Here is a 20,536-nt window from a genome sequence, read left to right as displayed (position 1 = left end):
GATTTTATAGGTAGATTTTATTTCCGTTCTCCAAACCAATTTGTCTTGTATCTTTATGTAGTTCCAGAGTCCTTTTATGGTTATTTCTCTTTCACCTCAAGAGATGTAAATGCAACTGTAAAGTTTGGAATACGCTGTGCTTTCACATCCTCCTCTAATTTTTACTGGGAAGCCTATTGTGACCCTCCCAAACACTTTAGTATTTATTTTCTCCAGCTTTCTAATGCTCAATCATTGCAATATCATACTGCATTTTTTTATTTTTATTTTTATTTATTTATTTTTTTTACTGGGATTTTATTTTTAAATTTCTAAACACTCAAATTATGTTTATAGTCTCTTTTTTTTTTTTATTGATCATTCTTGGGTGTTTCTCACAGAGGGGGATTTGGCAGGGTCATAGGACAATAGTGAAGGGAAGGTCAGCAGATAAACAAGTGAACAAAGGTCTCTGGCTTTCCTAGGCAGAGGACCCTGCGGCCTTCCGCAGTGTTTTTGTCCCTGGGTACTTGAGATTAGGGAGTGGTGATGACTCTTAACGAGCATGCTGCCTTCAAGCATCTGTTTAACAAAGCACATCTTGCACCGCCCTTAATCCATTGAACCCTGAGTGGACACAGCACATGTTTCAGAGAGCACAGGGTTGGGGGTAAGGTCATAGATCAACAGCATCCCAAGGCAGAAGAATTTTTCTTAGTACAGAACAAAATGAAATCTCCCATGTCTACTTCTTTCTACACAGACACAGCAACAATCTGATTTCTCTATCTTTTCCCCACCTTTCCCCCTTTTCTATTCCACAAAACCGCCATCGTCATCATGGCCCGTTCTCAATGAGCTGTTGGGTACACCTCCCAGACGGGGTGATGGCCAGGCAGAGGGGCTCCTCACTTCCCAGAAGGGGCGGCTGGGCGGAGGCGCCCCCCACCTCCCTCCCGGAGGGGGCGGCTGGCCGGGCGGGGGCTGACCCCCCCACCTCCCTCCCGGACGGGGCGGCTCGCTGGGCGGGGACTGGCCCCCCACCTTCCTCCTGGACGGGGTGGCTGCCAGGCGGAGACGCTCCTCACTTCTCAGACGGGGCGGCTGCTGGGCGGAGGGGCTCCTCACTTCTCAGACAGGGCGGCTGCTGGGCGGAGGGGCTCCTCACTTCTCAGACTGGGCGGCCGGGCAGAGACACTCCTCACCTCCCAGACGGGGTCGCCACTGGGCAGAGGCGCTCCTCACATCCTTGACGGGGTGGCAGGGCAGAGGCGCTCCCCACATCTCAGACGATGGGCGGCTGGGCAGAGACGCTCCTCACTTCTTGGACGGGATGGTGGCCGGGAAGAGGCGCTCCTCACTTCCCAGACTGGGCAGCCAGGCAGAGGGGCTCCTCAAATCCCAGACAATGGGCGGCCAGGCAGAGACGCTCCTCACTTCCCAGACGGGGTGGCGGCCGGGCAGAGGCTGTAATCTCGGCACTTTGGGAGGCCAAGGCAGGCGGCTGGGAGGTGGAGGTTGTAGCTAGCTGAGATCACGCCACTGCACTCCAGCCTGGGCAACATTGAGCACTGAGTGAACGAGACTCCGTATACAATCCCGGCACCTCGGGAGGCTGAGGCTGGTGGATCACTCGCGGTTAGGAGCCGGAGACCAAACCGGCCAACACAGCGAAACCCCATCTCCACCAAAAAAATACGAAAACCAGTCAGGCGTGGCGACTCGGCAGGCTGAGTCAGGAGAATCAGGCAGGGAGGTTGCAGTGAGCCGAGATGGTGGCAGTACAGTCCAGCTTCGGCTCGGCATCAGAGGGAAACCGTGGAAAGAGAGGGAGAGGGAGACCATGGGGAGGGGGAGAGGGAGGGAGAGGGAGAGGGAGAGGGAGAGGGAGAGGGACAGGGAGAGGGACAGGGAGAGGGAGAGGGAGAGCCATACTGCATTTTAATGCCTTTTAAATTAGGTGGACAAAATTGGAAAATGCAGATAATAAAAAAAGGAGAGAAAAAGCACTCAATCTCACCACGCAGACATAATTAATGATAGTATTTGCATTTTGATTTGTAAACTTTTGTGTGCGCATGTATGTATTTTACATAGTAAAATCAAGTTAGGATCATAATGTATATATACTTCATAACCTGCTTTTAAGCTTAATGTCCTATAAATATCTTTTCATGTCGATAAACATATTTATTGTAGTTCTTTTTTTTTTTTTTTTTTGAGATGGAGTCTTGCTCTGTCACCCAGGCTGGAGTGCAGTGGCGCGATCTCGGCTCACTGCAAGCTCTGCCTCCCGGGTTCACACCATTCTCCTGCCTCAGCCTCCGGAGTGGCTGGGACTACAGGCGCCCGCCACCATGCCCGGCTAATATTTTGTATTTTTAGTAGAGACGGGGTTTCACCATGTTAGCCAGGACGGTCTCGATCTCCTGACCTTGTGATATGCCCGCCTAGGCCCCCCAAAGTGCTGGATTACAGGTGTGAGCCACCGCACCTGGCCTATTTATTGTAATTCTTAATAGTGGCGTGCTGTTTTATTTTTTGGAAGTGTCCTGTCACATTCCAGTTATTTATTTTAGGTTGTATCTCAGGTACAAATGAGTACCTTGAGACCAGAGATCCTTGGGGCAGGGGCTGATATCTATCCCCACCTCCAACTCCATGTATGGCACAGTGTCTCACACATGTTAAGGCTCATTAAATATACATTAAAAGAGTTGGTGGCATGAGTGCAGATTCTTTTTTCTTTTTTTGTGTATTATTGAGAGTTTTCTTTCTCTTGTGGGTTTACATTTTTATATATTTTTCTAAAATAGAAAAAAGATGCTGAAGATTTATTAATGTTATGAGCTTAAGAAAATGACAATTTCAGGCAATAATATTGCTGAAAGGCTTGAAGGTATTTAAAGGAAAATGAAGTAAGCATTGTTTTTGAAAGCCCACAGAATCATGATTACTGTCTGGAAAGGTATAACATGATCAACCTTATTCATGTTATCCAGGCAGCAGGAAGAGAAAGTTGAAAATAAATAATGTCAGGCTGGGCACAGTGGCTCACGCCTGTAATCCCAGCACTTTGGGAGGCTGAGGTGGGTGGATCACTTGAGATCAGGAGTTTGAGAGCAGCCTGGCCAACATGGTGAAACCCCATCTCTACTAACATACAAAAATTAGCTGAGTGTGGTGGCACACGCCTGTAATCCCAGCTACTTGGGAGGCTGCAGCAGGAGAATCACTTGAACCTGGGAGGCGGAGGTTGGAGTGAGCCGAGATTGCGCCACTGCACTCCAGCCTGGGTGACACAGCGAGACTCCCTCTCAAAAAAATAAAATAAAATAAAAAATAAAAAAAGAAAAAAGAAATAGTGTCTTTTAAACCTAGAATCCCCTTCCTTCTCCTGTTGGCCTTTCAGACCCATCTCCATGCAGCAAATCTTGGTAAGACTTCTGCACTGTTCTCTCCTGTAATCATGTGGTTAGTGCCATTAACAGTGTGATTCTTCTATGTTGTGTTCTGATTTGTGATTTCTTCAAACATGCTCTAACTTCTAAGGGCAGGAGTTATAGTACCATTTCATAATCTCTTTTGTATCCCTAGCTTAGGAACATGCTCGTAAAGCTGAATGCTTTACAGTCTGTGGAGAAAGGCCATTTTTTCCATTAAAATTTTCAATTTATTGTGGACCAACACATTTGTAAAATATAATAAAAATAAACAACTAGGAAAATAAGATAGACAATAATTCAAGCCCAGAGTTTTCATTAGAATCTGTAGGCATAAAATTGTTTTAATAAATGTCATCTCAACATGGGAAAACAGAAAAGAATTACAAATCTGACAACGATCCACAACTATTATAATCACTATTACACATAGCTTTTGGCTCTTCCAAAACTGTAGCTAAACAAAAATTACAAAGGAAATACTGATTTCCTGCATTAAAAGTCTATAATACACACTTGGAATAAACATTGTGTACATCACTCTTTAAATTTCCACTATTTAAATAAACTTGCTTCTTGCTTATTAATTTGTTTAACTCGGATTGATGGCAGTGCTACTTGCAGAGGATAATGCATTTTTAAACTGTTTCTATGTTTTGTTTTAACAATACCCCTAATAGAGAAATCAGTCTCACAGAGGTATGTTGACAGGAACAGAATAAATTTTGGAATAATTTCAGAAACACATAATTTTTGTTTGTTTGTGTTTTTGAGACAGAGTCTCGCTTTGTCACCTAAGCTGGAGTGCAGTGGCATGATCTCAGCTCACTGCAACCTCTGCCTCCTGGGTTCAAGGGATTCTCATACCTCAGCCTCCTGAGTAGCTGGAATCACAGGTGTGTGCCACCACGCCCAGTTACTTTTTGTATTTTTAGTAGAGATGGGGTTTCACCATGTTGGCCAGGCTGGTCTCGAACTTCTGACCTCAAGTGATCCACCCACCTCGGCCTCCCAAAGTGCTGGGATTACAGGTGTGAGCCACAGCTCCCGGCTGGAAACCCAGAATATTTATTTAAAATTCTTATATATAACAAAACAAGTGATATCATATTTTCAAAGTACATATTCAGTCCATCGGTAGTCACTGCTAACAATTTATCCTGTCTATAATTTTTTTCCTTTTGATCAAAAAATGGATTTTGAGATAATGCGATATATTTTTTTCTGTGTCTGGCTGATTTCACCTATTGATCCATTTGTCTGTTCTTTCACCAATACCACACTGTCTTCATTACTGTAGCTTTACTGTAAGTCTTGAAGTTGGATAGTGTCAGTCCTCTAACTTGGTTCTTCTCTTTTGATATCATTTTTGCTAAAAAATTTCAAATATACAGATATAGAGAACAAAATGTTGGTTAGCAGGAGTGGCTGGGGGAGGAAATGGGAGATGTAGATGAGAGGATACAAAGTAGCAGATATGTAGGATGAACAAGTCTAGAGATCTAAGGTACACTATGAGGATGGTAAGTAATAAAATTGTAATGTATATGGAATTCGTGCAAAATGAATAGATTTTGCTTCTCTTGCCACAAAAACAAAAACGAAAAAACAGGTAACTGAGATGATGGATTTGTTAATTTGCTTCACTACAGAGGCTTTTTGCTGTCTATATGTATCTCATAACATCAAATTGTATATTTAAATATATACAATAAAATTTATTTATGAAAAAGAAAAATGCATTCTAGAAAGATTAATTTTCCATTTTTGGACCTCTTCTGAATTTTATATTCCATCAAAAAAATATAAAATTCATACGGTGATTGGTAATAACTTATTGCAGATGTGGAATATCAAAATCATCAACCACTTTCTTGCTAGTTGTTAAATGCTCTTTTTCTAAGCTTCTAATGTTTGTTTTTGCCCTTTAATCTTACCTGCAGTTTTTCTTTGCATAGAGTTATTATAATCATTAAATTATGAAAGATATCACACAAATAAGTGGTTCTGTTCATAGGCACATCTTTGACAAGTTGAGATCAAACAGGCTTCTTGTCTTGATGAAACGCAAACAGTTCACTACCTATTTCAAATGTTTTCAGCAGAGCTTTTCCAATGGAATAATCGGTTATAAAGAATGTTTAAATTTTCTCAATTTTTCAATATATTTTATTGAGTTAGAGTTGACAAACCAACCTTAGCATATTACGTGTTGCAATGTGGTCCTATAGAGCATGACCAATATGAAGCTCATACCACATACAACTTGTTGTATAAGCTGCATGCATGATGGTCTATACCCTGTTCAATGAGACGGAAGTCACTACTTGCTACTACATACTCCTCTCCATACTTGGTCTCAGCCAAAAGGCCGAGAAGCGATGCAAGCTTTATTCTCATTTTCTGTATTTATATTTTCATGAAATGGCAAGGAAGGAAGGAAGGAAGAAAGAAAGAAAGTAGTCTAGCATTGGTCTGTGGTCAACGGTTTGGGTAACACCAACCTGTCAACCATTATGACTCCATGTTTGCCAGACAGGCTCTATCTGGCAGCTAGAGGTACAGGGAGTCAGGTCTAGTCTTCTGGGAAGGGGAATGGTGAGAGCTAGGTCACTCAGGCTGAAAGGGTCAGTGAAAGAACCGAGGCCCAGTGGTATAAACAGGGTCAGAATAAAGATAAGAAGAGGAGAGTTAGCATGCTTAGGGCTCCTGGAAAATGTATAGAAATAAATTCTAAACCTCAGTCACTGGTGGGTAGAGAATGGTAGTACATTCAATATCAGGTTAGGATTGATTTAGACATAATATCATGTGCCATTTAATGGGTACTGTTTGGCTTTGCATAAACCTTTATTTAATTCTTCCAACAATGCCATAATAGATTTAACTGCCATTTTACACACAGGAAACTAAGTCGTAGCATGGTGAGCAATATGATTAAGGTCATGTAGTTAGAAAGTGGTAGAGAGTCTGTCCAGGTGTGTCTGAGTCCAAACTCTTTACTTTTTCTACTAAAGCAGGGCACCTTCAGCGACTGGGAGCCTGACTGAGTCGCTAGGTAAACTTGAGCCAATCAGGGAGAGTGAAGTGAGACAGAGGCAGAGTGCACTCATGAATTAATGACTGGCTGGGGCTTCCACAGCATGGCTTTTCAAAAGGCTTGAAACTCACATGTGTGCAGTATCTGAGCCTCAGTAGTGGCCTCAAGCGGCAAGTGTGGTACGGTACAGAGGAGCGATGGTGACATGATGGTGACAGATTTCACCACCAGGTGTCCTTCATGGTTAATCTTTGCTTAAAAAAAAATTCTTGTTTTGAACAGTTATTCTTTTATTCTCCTTTTTCTGATATAACTAGACGTTGACTCAGAACCTTGGAAAGGCAAGGAGACATATCTCTCTGCTTCTCTCCTAACACTGTGCAACCTCAGAAAATGACAAGTGGTTGGAAATCTTACAACAATACTTATACAGTATGCCCATTTGGGTCAAGTATTTTGAATCTAGAGAAAGTATTTATCTACTAAAGACCTTGAATTTCACTAGTTAGGGATTAATTGGTTCTGTGACTGGTTTAAATTAGAAAGCGATAAAAGAATAGAGCACATTTTGAAATTCACCAAATACTTACTGTAGGCACTATTCTAGGCTCTAATAAGTGAATATGGTAGAAAATGCTTATCACATTCCTAGCTTCTGTATCCTTTAGGTACTCTGCTTAGTACTATTCTATCTGCAAGTTTCAATTGGGTGTACAAGCCAGGTTTCCTAGAAATAGACTCCTATCATCAGAGCCTTCCAAGTTCATGGATGGTCCAAAGATCTGGCATAAATTTAGGGTGGAAGGGTAAAGCCTACAGACATTGGTAGATTCTTATATCTTGTTCATGCTAGGGTTTAGGATGTCTCTAAAATATTGATGTCTTTAATTTCACAGATAAGAATCCATTTCTAGTAATGCTATGTCATAAGCCACTCATATTTTTAAAAATTGGACATGTGTTATTCTAATTAGAAAAGGGTCTGATATCAATACCACTGATTGCCTCTGAAGAATGGAATTTGTGATTAGAGTGCCAGTTAATCATCACCATTCCTAATTAAAGTGGAAGCAACATAGGTTTCTAGGCCGGGCGCGGTGGCTCACGCCTGTAATCCCAGCACTTTGGGAGGCCGAGGCGGGTGGATCATGAGGTCAGGAGATCGAGACCATCCTGGCTAACAAGGTGAAACCCCGTCTCTATTAAAAATACAAAAAATTAGCTGGGCGCGGTGGCGGGCGCCTGTAATCCCAGCTACTCGGGAGGCTGAGGCAGGAGAATGGCGTGAACCCGGGAAGCGGAGCTTGCAGTGAGCCGAGATTGCGCCACTGCAGTCCGCAGTCCGGCCTGGGCGACAGAGCGAGACTCCGTCTCAAAAAAAAAAAAAAAAAAAAAAAAAAACATAGGTTTCTATTATAGCTTAATGCAACTAAAAAGCAATCAATACTACACCATCTACACTGAAGTATGTGAACTACAGATATTGTAACACTAGTCCTTACCCTCAGATGTTCAGATTCAATGGACCTCAAACAGGATCCAGAATTCTGCTTTTTAATATTCATGACCAATTGAAGGAAGGCCTCCCTCTGTGTTTTGAGAATCACTGGATTATTCTGGTAGAAGAACTATAGGAGGCTAGAAGAAAATGAAAGGTTGTAGCTAAGCCAACTATATACCCATTCAACGGACTACTCAAAAACAAAAAGTAATAAACTATTGATACAGGAACTGAAGGATCTCAAGGGCGTTGTGTTAAGTGAAAAAAAGCCGACCTGAAAAGATTACATTCTCTATGATTCCATCTATAGAATATTCTTAAGATGACAGAGTATATGATGATGAACAGACCAGTGGTTGCCAGGGACTAGGGATGGGGTAGGACTGTAAAGGGGTGACACAAGGGAGTTTCTTTTTGGTGATGGAAATGATCTATACTCTCAAGTGTTTGGCGGATGGTGGAACTGTTCTAAAATCCAATTATGGTAGTGGTTACAAAAATCTCTACATTTGATGAATAAACTGTATATACACACACAAAGCATAGTGAGTGCATTTAAAAACTAGTGACATTCAAATAAGCTCTGAGGTTCAGTTAGTGGTGTTATACAAATGTCAGTTTCCTGGTTTAGGCAGTTATACTATGATTATATACAATGTGCACACGAGGGAAGCTGGCAGAAGTGTACCTAGGAGCTCCTTGTAGTATTTCAGCAACTTGCATGTAAATGTAACATTATTTCAAAATCAAAAGTAAAAAAAAATCAACAATAACAAGCCTATGTTGAAGTTGCCAAGGTAGTAAGGATTAAAGATAGGTCTAAAAAGACAAACGGGGAAGGTAAAACCCATGGAGGTTAAGAATATGATAGGATCTAATACAGAACAGATGCCTGTTCTCTCTCTTCCTGTTTGTGATCTCGGGCAAATTAGTTAACCTCTCTGTGCTTTAGTCAACTTGTCTTTGAATTTGAGAAATAACAGTATCTATGCCAAAGGGTTATTATGAAGCTGAAGTGAGATATGTGTACGGAATACTTTTATTAATGTTTGATACGTAGGGAGGACTCCAAAACATGTCATTGTTTTGTTGCAATATGGAGAAAGAATCATCAAGACTTAGGTTAAAGTAAATGTGGGGACCAGAGGCAAGTGAAGGATCCTGGAGGAGAGGACAGAATCGTCACAGGTACACTTGGTGCAGGTAGCTGTTTGGAGAAGGAGAGTTGCCTTTTGTGTGGAATACAGAAATGGGGCTCACCTGTTGGCTTTTGGGGACAAGGTATTAGCAAAATATAGAAAAGAGAATTAACTAAAAATAGTGAATTGCACTACCTCCTCCTTCTCAAAACATCCGAGCCAACAGGATAAAAGCTGAAGTGCTTAGAGCTGATTTCTGGAATACTGCCAAATGAAAAATTGTATATATTTATGGTGTACAACATGCTGTTTTGATATATGTACACCTTGTGGAATGATTAAATCCAGCTAATTAACACATCCATCACCACACATACTTATCATTTGAAGGAAAGTAAAGTTGTGTAGAAGATAAGGCACATATTTACTTTTGTTCTAACTTGAGTGCTTTACAGAGGTAGTGCTGCTAATGGAAATTGTGTTGATGATTTCACTAAGTTCTTAAAGAACAAAGTCTAACATAGTTATTCAAAGAAAATTGAATGAGCAGGGACTGGGGATGCTGAGGTGAGTAAAAAATGGTTATTACCTTCAAGAAGCTTATATCCTAATGACAAGAGTCAGACCCAGTGAAATACACAGTTATTATGAAATCCACTCAGGCCATGAGAGAAGAATTTACAGTGGTTGGTGAGGAAAGGCTTTGCAGAAGAGGTCATCCTTGAACCTGCCTTTGAGCAAGTCTTTCTCTGAGTTGGGAGGGTCTGTGGGGTCTCTGGGGCTAAGAAGCAATCTTTGGTTTAAAAGTAGCAGCATGATAATTTAATTTTGTCCAATACGGGGGCTAATTGTGTTCTTGTCATACTCACTCATAGACTCTTCCTCAGATCTGGAAATTCCCATGCATTGGAAAGGGTGAGAGTCCTGGTCCCTTATTTAATGGTCACCTTTTATAGTATCCCCTGGAGTTGAGAGGATAGGGTGAAGAAATGGAGTTCCTCCATCCTCATATTAGGGAACAGAGGGGAGGGTGTTTGGGGAACGCAGGACTGGCCAGCCCTGATCTCTATCATCAGATGCACACCCTGTTCACTTCCTCTTCCTGTCATGAGTTTCTGCTTTCTGGAGTAAAACGTGAAGGAGGTACAGTCTGGGCCTAGCCTCTTGGGGGCCAAGTTTGCTCCTCCCTGATCCTTCTATGATTTTACTGGATACCTCCAAACACACCTTAGCTTTTGCATTATTAATGAAAGGTCCTGTTGGTGGGTACTGTCATAAAATGTTTTTGTTTTTCAGAAAAGCAAAGTGAAAGATCTGTAAAAAACGATGTTTGCCAAGTGTTGGAAGGTAGAATATTTCAGAATGAAGCACCATCATCTAAGTGTGAAGAACGTAGAGCTAAACAAAGATGCTGCCTCTTAGAGATGTTCTATTCCAGGCCTCTGCTTTCCATCTGAGAGTGAATATTCAAATCTAAACTATTTTATTAATATTATTCTTTAAATATCTCTGCCAGAATTTCCATCAAAAGTCAGTCATATATCTGAGTAGTTCATTGAATCTATCACATAATTGTTGTTAAGATGTGCCATTATTTTATGCAACACCAAGAAAGAAAATTCAGCCACTTAACCTATGATACTGTAAGATCTCAAAGATGTTAAACAGTGGAAAAAAGTAAAGAGTTAATGTAATATGTTATGTCTTTAGATGGAAGATAGAGAGATTTTCCTTTTTAGTCCTAAGACAGTAGGAGAAATAATGAATATTTTATAATTAGGCTGAAGTTTGAATTCCAGTTCCTCTATTGTGTGACCTTGGGAAGTGATGTTTCTTTAAACTCTATTTCTTCCTCTGTAAAATAGGATTATACCCACCTTCGTTGGGTTGAGGTGAGGAATAAATGATTTACTGGATGTAATGCTTCTACCCTAATCCCTGTCCCATGGTGTACATTTAAAAGAAAATTAGTTTTCCTTCTCCTTATTTTAAACCAATGTAATTCTCTTAATAATTTAAGTCAAGTTCCTCCTGTTTCAGTCCTCTAAAGCATAGGCATAGTTCTAAATTAAGATGCCTCATAAGGAGGAGTCTTAGTTATAGTAGAGCATTGCTCTTTCTCACCATCTCTGTCTCCTTACTTTGTCCTCCTTTATTTCTTGCTGGTTAAAATGTAGACTTCAATGATTAATTCCCTGTATTGCTTTGCACATAGACACACACATTCCTTGCTTATCGAATAGTCATACATGAACAACAAAAGGAGCAACTCTCATTTTCGCCTATTATGCAAAGTGCCTTCTTCCTAGATAATGCTATAGAATGTTGTTAAATATTGCCTCTCCAATTTCTCTAAGATTTTAGTCATACCCTCTTTAATTCATTGGATCTCTTCTGTCACCAACTGCCTTGTTTATTAAATTATCTCCTCAAAAGGATTCTTTTAATTCATTTCTTCAGTTTGAAACTTTTGTGCATCAAAGGATACTATAAATAAAATGCAAATACAATCCACAGAAGGGGAGAAATATTTGCAAATCATATATCTGATAAGGGTTTAGTATTTAGAATACAGAAAGAAAGCTTACACCTCAACAATCAGAAGATAATCCAATTAAAATTTGGCAAAGGATTTGCATATATATTTCTCCAAAGAAAATACACATATGGCCAATCAGTATGTGCATGACAGGCATCTGAAAAGATATTCAATATCATTAGACTCTAGCGAAATGCAGATCACCACAATGAGATACTGCTTCACATTCACAAAGACGGCTATCATCAAAAAGAAAGTAACAAGTGTTGGTGAGGATTTAGAGAATTACAGCCCTCATAATTTGCTGGTGGGGACGTAAAATGGTGTGGTTGCTTTGAAAAGTTGTTTTGCAATTCCTCAAAAAGCTAAATATAAAGTTACCATATGACCTAGCAAGTCGACTACTAGGTATATACCCAAGAGAACTGAAAATATATGCTCGCACAGAAACTTATATACAAATGTTCATAGCCATAATAACCAAACAGTGGGAACAACTCAAATGTCTATTAACTGATGAATGGATACAGAAAATGTGGTATATGCATACACTGAAACATTATTCATTCATCAGAAAGAATGAAGTACATGCCACGAAATGGATGAACCTTGAAAACATCATGTTAAGTGCAAAAATCCAGATAGAAAAGGCCATATATGTGCGTTACTCCATTCATATGAAATGTCCAGAATAGACAAATTCATAGAAATGGAAAGTAGATTAGTGGTTGCCAGAGACTGGGGGAAGGAGAAAACGGGGAGTGACTGCTAATGAGTCTAGGTTTCATTTAGGGGTGGTGAAAATATTCTAGAATTATATAGTGGTGATGGTTGTACAACTTCCTAATATATTTAAAAACAAAGGGGTAATTTTTCAAATTTTATGAATACCTAATAGTTGTACATGTTTATGGCATATATGTGATATTTTAGTACAAGCATACAATGTGTAATGATTAAATCTGGGTAATTAGGATATCCATCATCTTAAATATTTATAATTTCTTTATTTTGGGAATGTTCCAAATCTACTCTTCCAGCTATTTTGTAATATACAGTAAATTATTAGCTCTAGTCACCCTATTGAACACTAGCACTTATTTCTTCTATATAACTATATTTTTGTACCCACTGACCAGCTCCTCTTTATCCCTCCCTCCTCACTACCCTTCCCAGGCTCTGTTAACCACCATTCTATTCACTATCTCCATGAGATCATTTTTTTAGCACCCTCATATTGGTGAGAACATGTGACATTTGTCTTTCTATGTATGGCTTATTCCGTTTACCATAATGTCCTCCAGTTCCATCCATATTGTAGCAAATGGCATGATTTCATTAATTTTTATGGTGGAATAATATTCCTATATATATTATATATATCCCATTTTCTTTATCCATCCATCTGTTCATGGACACTTGAGTTGATACTATATCTTGGTTACTGTGAATAGTGCTGCAATAAACATGACAGTGCAGGTCTCTTTTCAATACTCTGATTTCCTTTCTTTTGGATATATACCTAGCAGTCAGATTGCTGGATTAAAGCTTTTGACAACAAAGAAAATAATCAATAAAATAAAATAAAATAAAGAGACCTACAGCATGGGAGAAAGTATTTGCAAACCATTCAACTGACAGAGGATTAATTAACAGAAATGTATACGGAACTCAAACAACTCAATACAAAAAAAATCTGATTTAAAATGGGCAAAATAGACATTTCTCAAAAGAAGGCATACAAATGGCAACAGGTATATGAAAAAATGTTCAACATCACTAGTCATGAGAGAAATGCAAATCAAAACTGCAATGAGATATCATCTCACCCCAGTTAAAATAGCTGTTATCAAAGAAAGAAACTAAATGCTGGAGGGGATGTGGAGAGCAGGAAACACTTGCTCACTGTTGGTGGGAATGTAAATGGGTACAGCCACCATGGAAAACAGTATGGGAGCTTCTTCAAAAACCTCCTTAAAAAATTAAAAGAGTAAATTTTATGGTGTGTGAAACAAATCTCAATACAAATAATTTTACAAGATAACCAGTGATATAAGTCAGCCCAGAAGAGCTAAATAATGGTATAATGTCCTGGTGCATAGGAGAAAATAATTGCTCAATAATATAGCACAGGTGGGAGCTCAATAAAATTGGAGTATTAGAAGAAAACCTCATGGAATAGGAAGGATTTGAGATGAATCTTAGAGAATAGGTAGAACTTAGTAAGAGAGAAAAAAGAGAAGACTATTCCACGTAGGGGAACAATATCTAAACAGGAGGAAAACAGAAACATTCTATTTGTGTTCAGGAGCAATAATTGAATAACCAGGCTGGACTGTGGCTAAATTAGGGTGTAATGAGAAGGCAGTAGAGAAAAGTTAAAACAATACTATGCAGGATCTTATATGTCCATGGCATCTGGACTTTAATTGGTAAGCACTGGAGAATCATTCAAGATGTCTAAGTAGGGATGTAACAATTCCAATTAATCGTTTATAAAATAAGTGAAACAGCAGGAGCAAATGAGAAACTAGGCCTAAAGTGAAGACTAGAAAGAAGAGGAGAGTTGGATTTTAGAGACATTTTAGAGTAGACAAAACTTAAAGTACATGAGGAACTTCATTAGATAAAAAGAGTGAAAAAGGAATAAATCAAATACATCTCTCAGCTGTGAGTGTGGATGATGGGGGAGGATGTGAAGGGAGAGAGACAGGAAGCTAAAAAGGAGGTGCATGGGAATTAGACCGCGGGCTCAGACTGGACCAGCTCTATAGTTTTACATTGCAGATAGGAGATCATTATGAAATAATTTGCAAATACCCGGACATGCAGGCTTGGAAATCAGATGAGTAAACAGGATTGAAAATGCAATTACATGAATTAGTTACCTAAAATTGATAGACTGAGTTATGGGAATGGATGAGAGTTTTTGGGGGAAGGTAACACTTTGTAAGGAATGTGCACATTTGGTTGTCAGAAAAAATGCAACTAGTGAAGATGAAATTGTGTATGTCTAAGAAAGTAGGAGAGAGAGTTAAGAGTGTCCCATCTTGGAAGCTAAGGAAGGGCATGTGTCTCAAAAGGCAAGGAAGCAAAAGGGCAGTGTTGTTAAATCTCACAGAATGAGAATTGAGTAGAATCCACTGGATTCAACAATTAAGAAGTCATTGGCAGCATTTGGGGAAACAATTCTAGAAAAGTATTAGAGAGAATAGACAGACTGTAATTCACTGAAAAATGAACGCGATATGAAAACATTCAAACCTGAAAGCAGACTCTGCTTTTGAGTTGTTTGGTTGTGAAGGACAGGAGAGAGAGAATTCAATGGTTTGCACGAGCATCTAGGCAAGCAATTACCTCAGAATGGTGGAAGGTCTAGAGCCTACAGACACAGCTAGATAAAAGGGCTACATTCAGTCAGCAAATTCAACAAATTCAGCTTTCCATGTGCTTGGTACTAAGTGCTGTGTATATAGGAGTAAACAACATAGACAAGAATTCCTGCCTTTGTGAAGTGTAGAGAATTTAGATGAATTAGTCTCCATCTCACTAGTGAGTAGTCAAGAGGATGGTGCAGGTGTAATTTAGACACTTCTATTCACTTAGAGCTAAAGTTCAGTCATATCACTTATAATAACTCATTGACAATTGGGTGTTGTAAAATTTTCTTCAAAGCAATTCTTGCTCATCTTTGATGGAAACAACCACAACAGCCAATACAGTAGCAACAAATCTCTGAGGTGCAGCATCAATGACAAGAACGATACTGCTCCATGAACCAGGTGAGATCAAGGAAACGAGAAGTCCCCAGCCCTAAAGCATCAGAAAGCTCTCATTGCGTAAATAGCTCTGGCACCATTTTTCATCAGCTTCTGCAGTAACAGATTTGCCCAGAGATGTATCCACAACTTTCTGTACTTTTATCTTTATAGGAAATGAAACTTGTTGAAGTTACGCTTTTGCGTTTTGCAGGAAACAGCTGCAGTAAATCAGAATTGATGACAGGAACAATGCATCACGAGATGACAGAAAACTTTATTAAGACATTGAATGCAACACACAATTTTTCTTCTTTTAAATTTGAATTAGGTGCTTGTCAAAAAAAAAAAAAAAAAGCTAAGATCCATCTAGGATATACTATTTTGCAGGCCTTTTGTTTGCCAGTGTGGAACTGCAAGAGATTCTCTTAAAGACTTTTTCTTTCCTGAGTTCTCTTGAAAATGTTTAATTAGCAAAGCTCTGAGAAAGACAAATTCAAAAAAAGGCTCTCATTGAACAGGACAAAATGGAGTAGAGTTCAGCAGAATTGAGTTTTCCGCAGGCGTTTAGCATTCTAACCTAGGATGCATGCTATTTTTAAAATCACTAGTTTTCACGGCAGCTGTACTGATAAAAGAAAAACTTCAGCCAAATTAAATTTAAAGGCGTTTAATTGAGCAATGAATGATGCGCGAATCGGGCAGCCCCTCCTCTAGCCAGAGGCTCAGAGACTCCAGCACAGTCACGTGGTGGAAGAAGATTTATGAACAGAAAAGGAAAAGTGATGTACAGAAAAGGAAATAAGGTAGAGAAACAGTTGGATTGGTTACAGGTTGACATTACCTTATTTGATCACGGTTTGAACAGTTGACTACATTTGATTGATCAAAACTTAGTGACTGGCACAAGGGTAGGCTACTGTCTGTTTACACCTCCACTTGTTATAGTTCACGATGTAAAGAAAAACTTTTAGGCCAACCTTAAAATACGTAGGGAGGCGGGCAGGGCACAGTGGCTCACGCCTGTAATTCCAGCACTTTGAGAGGCGAGGCGGGCAGATCACGAGGTCAGGAGATCGAGACCATCCTGGCTATACTAAAAATACAAAAAATTACCCGGGCGTGGTGGTGGGCGCCTGTAGTCCCAGCTACTCGGGAGGCTGAGGCAGGAGAATGGCGTGAACCCAGGAGATGGAGCTTGCAGTGAGCCGAGAACGTGCCACTGCACTCCAGCCTGGGTGACAGAGCGAGATTCCGTCTCAAAAAAAAAAAAAAAAAAAAAAAAAAAAAAAAAAAAAATGTAAGGAGGCAGCTTTAGGCTAGACTTGATTTAATTGGAATTATCTGGGGACCTTTTAAAAATCCCAATGCCTAATGCTAGCCCAGAGATTCTTTTTCTTTATAGTTTATTTTATTTTATTATTATTATACTTTAAATTTTAGGGTACATGTGCACAATGTGCAGGTTAGTTACATACGCATACATGTGCCATGCTGGTGTGCTGCACCCATTAACTCGTCATTTAGCATTAGGTATATCTCCTAATGCTATCCCTCTGCCCTCCCCCCACCCCACAACAGTCCCCAGAGTGTGTTGTTCCCCTTCCTGTGTCCATATGTTCTCATTGTTCAATTCCCACCTATGAGTGAGAACATGCAGTGTTTGGTTTTTTGTCCTTGCGATAGTTTCCTGAGAATGATGATTTCCAGTTTCATCCATGTCCCTACAAAGGACATGAACTCATCATTTTTTATGGCTGCATAGAATTCCATGGTGTATATGTGCCACATTTTCTTAATCCAGTCTATCATTGTTGGACATTTGGCTTGGTTCCAAGTCTTTGCTATTGTGAATAGTGCCGCAATAAACATATGTATGCATGTGTCTTTATAGCAGCATGATTTATAATCCTCTGGGTATATACCCAGTAATGGGATGGCTGGGTCAAATGGTATTTCCAGTTCTAGATCCCTGAGGAATCGCCACACTGACTTCCACAATGGTTGAACTAGTTTACAGTCCCACCAACAGTGTAAAAGTGTTCCTATTTCTCCACATCCTCTCCAGCACCTGTTGTTTCCTGACTTTTTAATGATCGCCATTCTAACTGGTGTGAGATGGTATCTCATTGTGGTTTTGATTTGCATTTCTCTGATGGCCAGTGATGGTGAGCATTTTTTCATGTGTCTGTTGGCTGCATAAATGTCTTCTTTTGAGAAGTGTCTGTTCATGTCCTTCGCCCACTTTTTGATGGGGTTGTTTGTTTTTTTCTTGCAAATTTGTTTGAGTTCATTGTAGATTCTGGATATTAGCCCTTTGTCAGATGAGTAGGTTGCAAAAATTTTCTCCCATTTTGTAGCTTGCCTGTTCACTCTGATGGTGATTTCTTTTGCTGTGCAGAAGCTCTTTAGTTTAATTAGATCCCATTTGTCAATTTTGTCTTTTGTTGCCATTGCTTTTGGTGTTTTAGACATGAAGTCCTTGCCCATGCCTATGCCCTGAATGGTAATGCCTAGGTTTTCTTCTAGGGTTTTTATGGTTTTAGGTCTAACGTTTAAGTCTTTAATCCATCTTGAATTAATTTTTGTGTAACATGTAAGGAAGGGATCCAGTTTCAGCTTTCTACATATGGCTAGCCAGTTTTCCCAGCACCATTTATTGAATAGGGAATGCTTTCCCCATTGCTTGTTTTTCTCAGGTTTGTCAAAGATCAGATAGTTGTAGATATGCGGCGTTATTTCCAAGGGCTCTGTTCTGTTCCATTGATCTATATCTCTGTTTTGGTACCAGTACCATGCTGTTTTGGTGACTGTAGCCTTGTAGTATAGTTTGAAGTCAGGTAGCCTGATGCCTCCAGCTTTGTTCTTTTGGCTTCGGATTGACTTGGCGATGCGGGCTCTCTTTTGGTTCCATATGAACTTTAAAGTAGTTTTTTCCAATTCTGTGAAGAAAGTCATTGGTAGCTTGATGGGGATGGCATTGAATCTATAAATTACCTTGGGCAGTATGGCCATTTTCATGATATTGATTCTTCCTACCCATGAGCATGGAATGTTCTTCCATTTGTTTGTATCCTCTTTTATTTCCTTGAGCAGTGGTTTGTAGTTCTCCTTGAAGAGGTCCTTCACATCCCTTGTAAGTTGGATTCCTAGGTATTCTATTCTCTTTGAAGCAATTGTGAATGGGAGTTCACTCATGATTTGGCTCTCTGTTTGTCTGTTGTTGGTGTATAAGAATGCTTGTGATTTTTGTACATTGATTTTGTATCCTGAGACTTTGCTGAAGTTGCTGATCAGCTTAAGGAGATTTTGGGCTGAGACAATGGGGTTTTCTAGATATACAATCATGTCATCTGCAAACAGGGACAATTTGACTTCCTCTTTTCCTAATTGAATACCCTTTATGTCCTTCTCCTGCCTAATTGCCCTGGCCAGAACTTCCAACACTATGTTGAATAGGAGTGGTGAGAGAGGGCATCCCTGTCTTGTGCCAGTTTTCAAAGGGAATGCTTCCAGTTTTTGCCCATTCAGTATGATATTGGCTGTGGGTTTGTCATAGATAGCTCTTATTATTTTGAGATACGTCCCATCAGTACCTAATTTATTGAGAGCTTTTAGCATGAAGGGTTGTTGAATTTTGTCAAAGGCCTTTTCTGCATCTATTGAGATAATCATGTGGTTTTTGTCTTTGGTTCGGTTTATATGCTGGATTACATTTATTGATTTGCATACATTGAACCAGCCTTGCATCCCAGGGATGAAGCCCACTTGATCATGGTGGATAAGCTTTTTGATGTGCTGCTGGATGCGGTTTGCCAGTATTTAATTGAGGATTTTTGCATCAATGTTCATCAAGGATATTGGTCTAAAATTCTCTTTTTTGGTTGTGTCTCTGCCAGGCTTTGGTATCAGGATGATGCTGGCCTCATAAAATGAGTTAGGGAGGATTCCCTCTTTTTCTATTGATTGGAATAGTTTCAGAAGGAATGGTACCAGTTCCTCCTTGTACCTCTGGTAGAATTCGGCTGTGAATCCATCTGGTCCTGGACTCTTTTTGGTTGGTAAGCTATTGGTTATTGCCACAATTTCAGATCCTGTTGTTGGTCTATTCAGAGATTCAACTTCTTCCTTGTTTAGTCTTGGGACAGTGTATGTGTCGAGGAATTTATCCATTTCTTCTAGATTTTCTAGTTTATTTGTGTAGAGATGTTTGTAGTATTCTCTGATGGTAGTTTATATTTCTGTGGGATCGGTGGTGATATCCCCTTTATCATTTTTTATTGCGTCTATTTGATTCTTCTCTCTTTTTTTCTTTATTAGTCTTGCTAGCGGTCTATCAATTCTGTTGATCCTTTCAAAAAACCAGCTCCTGGATTCATTAATTTTTTGAAGGGTTTTTTTTGTCTCTATTTCCTTCAGTTCTGCTCTGATTTTAGTTATTTCTTGCCTTCTGCTAGCTTTTGAATGTGTTTGCTCTTGCTTTTCTAGTTCTTTTAATTGTGATGTTAGTGTGTCAATTTTAGATCTTTCCTGTTTCTCTTGTGGACCTTTAGTGCTATAAATTTCCCTCTACACAGCTTTGAATGTGTCCCAGAGATTCTGGTATGTTGTGTCTTTGTTCTCTTTGGTTTCAAAGAACATCTTTATTTCTGCCTTCATTTCGTTATGTACCCAGTAGTCATTCAGGAGCAAGTTGTTCAGTTTCCATGTAGTTGAGCGGTTTTGAGTGAGCTTCTTAATCCTGAGTTCTAGTTTGATTGCACTGTGGTCTGAGAGAGTTTGTTATAATTTCTGTTCTTTTACATTTGCTGAGGAGAGCTTTACTTCCAAGTATGTGGTCAATTTTGGAATAGGTGTGGTGTGGTGCTGAAAGAAATATATATTCTGTTGATTTGGGGTGGCTTTAACACCCCACTGTCAACATTAGACAGATCAGTGAGTCAGAAAGTTAACAAGGATACCCAGGAATTGAACTCAGCTCTGCACCAAGCAGACCTAATAGACATCTGCTAGCCCAGAGATTCTAATGATTATATCTGGGCTCAGCTTAGGCAGTAGGGCTTTGGAAAACTCTCACTTCATGCTAATGTGCATCCATTTGGTAACTCCTATTCTAAATTCCTTCTTGGGAGTCTAA

General features: G+C 39.7%; 2 annotated features.

The window, feature by feature from the left end:
• Positions 255-992: an enhancer, noted in NCBI's record as "NANOG-H3K27ac hESC enhancer chr11:60259237-60259974 (GRCh37/hg19 assembly coordinates)". NCBI's record gives its function as "activates a minimal SCP1, AML or CMV promoter by ChIP-STARR-seq in naive H9 embryonic stem cells {active_cell/tissue: H9 hESC(naive)}" and the evidence as "EXISTENCE:reporter gene assay evidence [ECO:0000049][PMID:30033119]".
• Positions 993-1,732: an enhancer, noted in NCBI's record as "H3K27ac hESC enhancer chr11:60258497-60259236 (GRCh37/hg19 assembly coordinates)". NCBI's record gives its function as "activates a minimal SCP1, AML or CMV promoter by ChIP-STARR-seq in naive H9 embryonic stem cells {active_cell/tissue: H9 hESC(naive)}" and the evidence as "EXISTENCE:reporter gene assay evidence [ECO:0000049][PMID:30033119]".

This window comes from Homo sapiens, chromosome 11 (assembly GCF_000001405.40).
Source record: "Homo sapiens chromosome 11, GRCh38.p14 Primary Assembly".
In the NCBI taxonomy this organism is placed as follows: domain Eukaryota; kingdom Metazoa; phylum Chordata; class Mammalia; order Primates; family Hominidae; genus Homo; species Homo sapiens.
Note: the sequence above shows the minus strand (reverse complement) of the source record. Positions and strands in the feature narration are given on the sequence as shown.